Genomic DNA, 3,010 nt, shown 5'->3' with positions numbered 1-3,010 from the left:
TAGTGCCAGCCAAAGCACTTTGTAGGGCACTAGCAGTGGGATCTATCCTTGTTTGCACAAGCCAGCAGCAGCAGCAGCAGCAGCAGCAGCAGCATGGCGGGGTGCACACTCATTGGCTGCAGAAGGTTGCTAATGGATACCAAGGTGTCTGTCTCTGTGTGGGCATTTGCAACAGCAGTGGTGGCAGCATGGCTGAGAGGTGCTGGTGTGGGGGACGTGAGGGATTCTGCCGGTGACTGTGCATACATTCCTGCCAGTGGTGGTGTTAGCATGGGGGCAGGGCACTGTTGGGCACAAGACTATGTGCCTTCTGCGCACATTCACACCAGCAGTGGTGGCTACTTAGGGTGGGGGCACATCCACTGTTTTCTGTGCCTAGTTTTGCACCAGTGGCAATGACAGTGCAGGGATGAGGCACTGGTGGGGTCATGGCTGGCAGACTCTGTGTCTGCCAACACTTGACAGCAGTGGCAGTGTGGTGGGGGAAAGGGGCAGCGTGCACTCATGCCAGCAGCAGTGGCATGACAGGGTGCACACGCACATGCCTGCTGGTGGGGAAAAGGAAGCAAGGTCTGCTGATGCACACATGCACTGGCGTAGTGATGTTGGGGGTGGCTGTGTGTGAATGCGTGCAGGCAAATCAGCGCAGGGGAGGCTGCAGTGAGGAAAGGGTGTGAATGGGCTGGAGCTGCTCTGCTCCCACTGGAGCTGTCTTCCAGTCAGGCATGGTCTGCCAGCACAGGAACCATGATGTGGGCCCCCAGGAGGTATCCTCCCTGGGCACCTGAGGCTGCACTGCAAGTGGGCATGGCCAGGCTGGGGTACCAGGAGAGGCCACTAGACTGAGAGGTGCTCAGGTCAGGCTGGCCCCATCTTATGGGCAGGATCACCCTGCAGAGTTCAGGCCTGACAGTTCTATTGGAGCTAAAGTCCCCTGTGGGAGTGAGCAGAGCCTATGGTCATGGGCATCCCTGGCTATGCTCCACTATATGTACTTCTGCACAAAACCCTCTGGGCTCTGCACCAGCTGGAGTTCTGCCCCCACCACTTCTCTGAGCAGCTCTCCTTGTCAATTCAAGTGGCCATGGTGGTCATGGAGTCTCCTGCTGTCAGGATTCTGGAGGTCTATGGTGAGAGTGGGTTGCTCCTTGCCTGTTCAACTCACCCTTTCCCCAGGAGTCACTGGGGGCTAGGACCAAGTCCCAGTGTGCGGTGGCCCCGTGCAGGGTTCCCAGCTTCCTCCCCCTTTAGCCCAGCATCTGTGTCTTCTCAACATCCACTCTCAATGCCTTCCTTCTGAAGATCTGTTAGAAATATGCCAGTCTTCCCAATGTCCTGGTTTCTCGGTGGCAGATATTCCTCCTGGCTGTGTCTAGTCAGCCATCTCGCCATCTCTCCTCAAGTTTTAAATATGGAAATTCCCTGCCTTTTAATTATCAGCCAACATTTAGTCTGAATAGATCATGGCCTTTCAGTTGCAAACACTGAGCTTCCAGATCTGTTGAGGTGGTTTTACAGTTCCAGTGCTTGAAAACTGCAGGCCTGAGGTTTCCCTACAGCACTCTCTGGGGAGCCATTGCTTTTGAAACCACTTAAGAATTATGAAACTACACATGGTACACGGTTACCAGACACAATAAAAAGTAGACTTTTCAGTAAATTGCCTACAATTTGTGCAATCCCAATTATCCCAGAAAAAGTAAAAACAAACACTTGTATATGTAACAATTAATATTGTGGCCTACAGCTCATCTTTTATGTTGGGTGAAACCTGAATCTGGCTCTTTTCTTTTCTTTTCTTTTTTTTGGACTGAGTCTTGCTGTGTCACCCAGGCTGGAGTGCAGTGGCGCAATCTCAGCTCACTGCAACCTCTGCCTCCTGGGTTCAAGCAATTCTCCTGCTTCAGCCTCCCAAGTAGCTGGGATTGCAGGCATGCACCACCACGCTCAGCTAATTTTTTTTTTAGTAGAGACAGGGTCTCACCATGTTGGCCAAGCTGGTCTTGAACTCCTGGCCTCAAATGATCCACCTGCCCTGGGTTACAGGTACTGGGATTATAGGCATGAGCCACTATGCCTGGCCAAATTTGGCACACTTTTAAGACACTCAGCAGATTATTTCTTTTTAATAAGTCCTGGTAGTACACAAAAATGCAGGCATAAAATGAAACATTCTTTTAAGAAATACCTACTGTTCTAAATGATTATATTATATCAGCCCAGGAAATACCAAATGTCCTATGCTTATGGTCCCTAGAGTTGGCAATAGACAATGAGCTTTTCAGAGATTCACTATTGTTTCACTTGTGGCTAGAAATACAGTGTGCTTTGGGAAGAAGAGAGGTCTGGCTGAGATGAAAAGATCTTGTATCCCCATCGCCATATTCCTTTCCTGCTATTCTCTCTATGACCTTCTCGCTACATTCCATTCATTCCACTTGCTGGATGTGCTCTTATTCTGCATATTACTGACATAGTAACATATGGGGAAGCAACTAGTTCATACCTGAAATATGAGAAAGAAGGAGACTCTCAGGAGCCTGGGAATTCTCAGCCAGTATGCTTCACCAACCTAATTTTCTTCACCCCACACTTCTTTCGTTTTTCTTGAGTTCCTACTTTATTTAACAGTACCACAACCTCTGTGAACTCAGCTAGAAATTCTTCAGAAATCCTTCTAAAACCTCAGGTATAGGGAATCTTTAAAAGATACACAAGACAGAAGATGAATGTCTACTGAGCTCTGGTATAATACCTGCCTCTGCCAAGCATGTGGAAGATCATTCTGATCCCAGGATGACAGATGTTGCTGATTTGCCCTGGTTTTCTTTCTCATTTATCTTCCTTTTCAGACCCTTGTTCTGGATTGTTGATGGTTTAACTTTTGTTTCTTCACTACGGTGGCTCTGCCCCTCCCTTTCCCTAATTCCACTGTAACATTCACAGTGTCTCCTGTATCACCATAGATAACTCAAATGTCTATGAGACTAGACAATATCATTCATTCATT

General features: G+C 48.5%; 1 annotated feature.

The window, feature by feature from the left end:
• Nucleotides 389-890: an enhancer, noted in NCBI's record as "H3K4me1 hESC enhancer chr4:146487383-146487884 (GRCh37/hg19 assembly coordinates)". NCBI's record gives its function as "activates a minimal SCP1, AML or CMV promoter by ChIP-STARR-seq in naive H9 embryonic stem cells {active_cell/tissue: H9 hESC(naive)}" and the evidence as "EXISTENCE:reporter gene assay evidence [ECO:0000049][PMID:30033119]".

This window comes from Homo sapiens, chromosome 4, assembly GCF_000001405.40.
Source record: "Homo sapiens chromosome 4, GRCh38.p14 Primary Assembly".
NCBI lineage: Eukaryota > Metazoa > Chordata > Mammalia > Primates > Hominidae > Homo > Homo sapiens.
The sequence above is the reverse complement of the archived record's forward strand: the minus strand, read 5'-3'. Positions and strand labels throughout refer to the sequence as shown.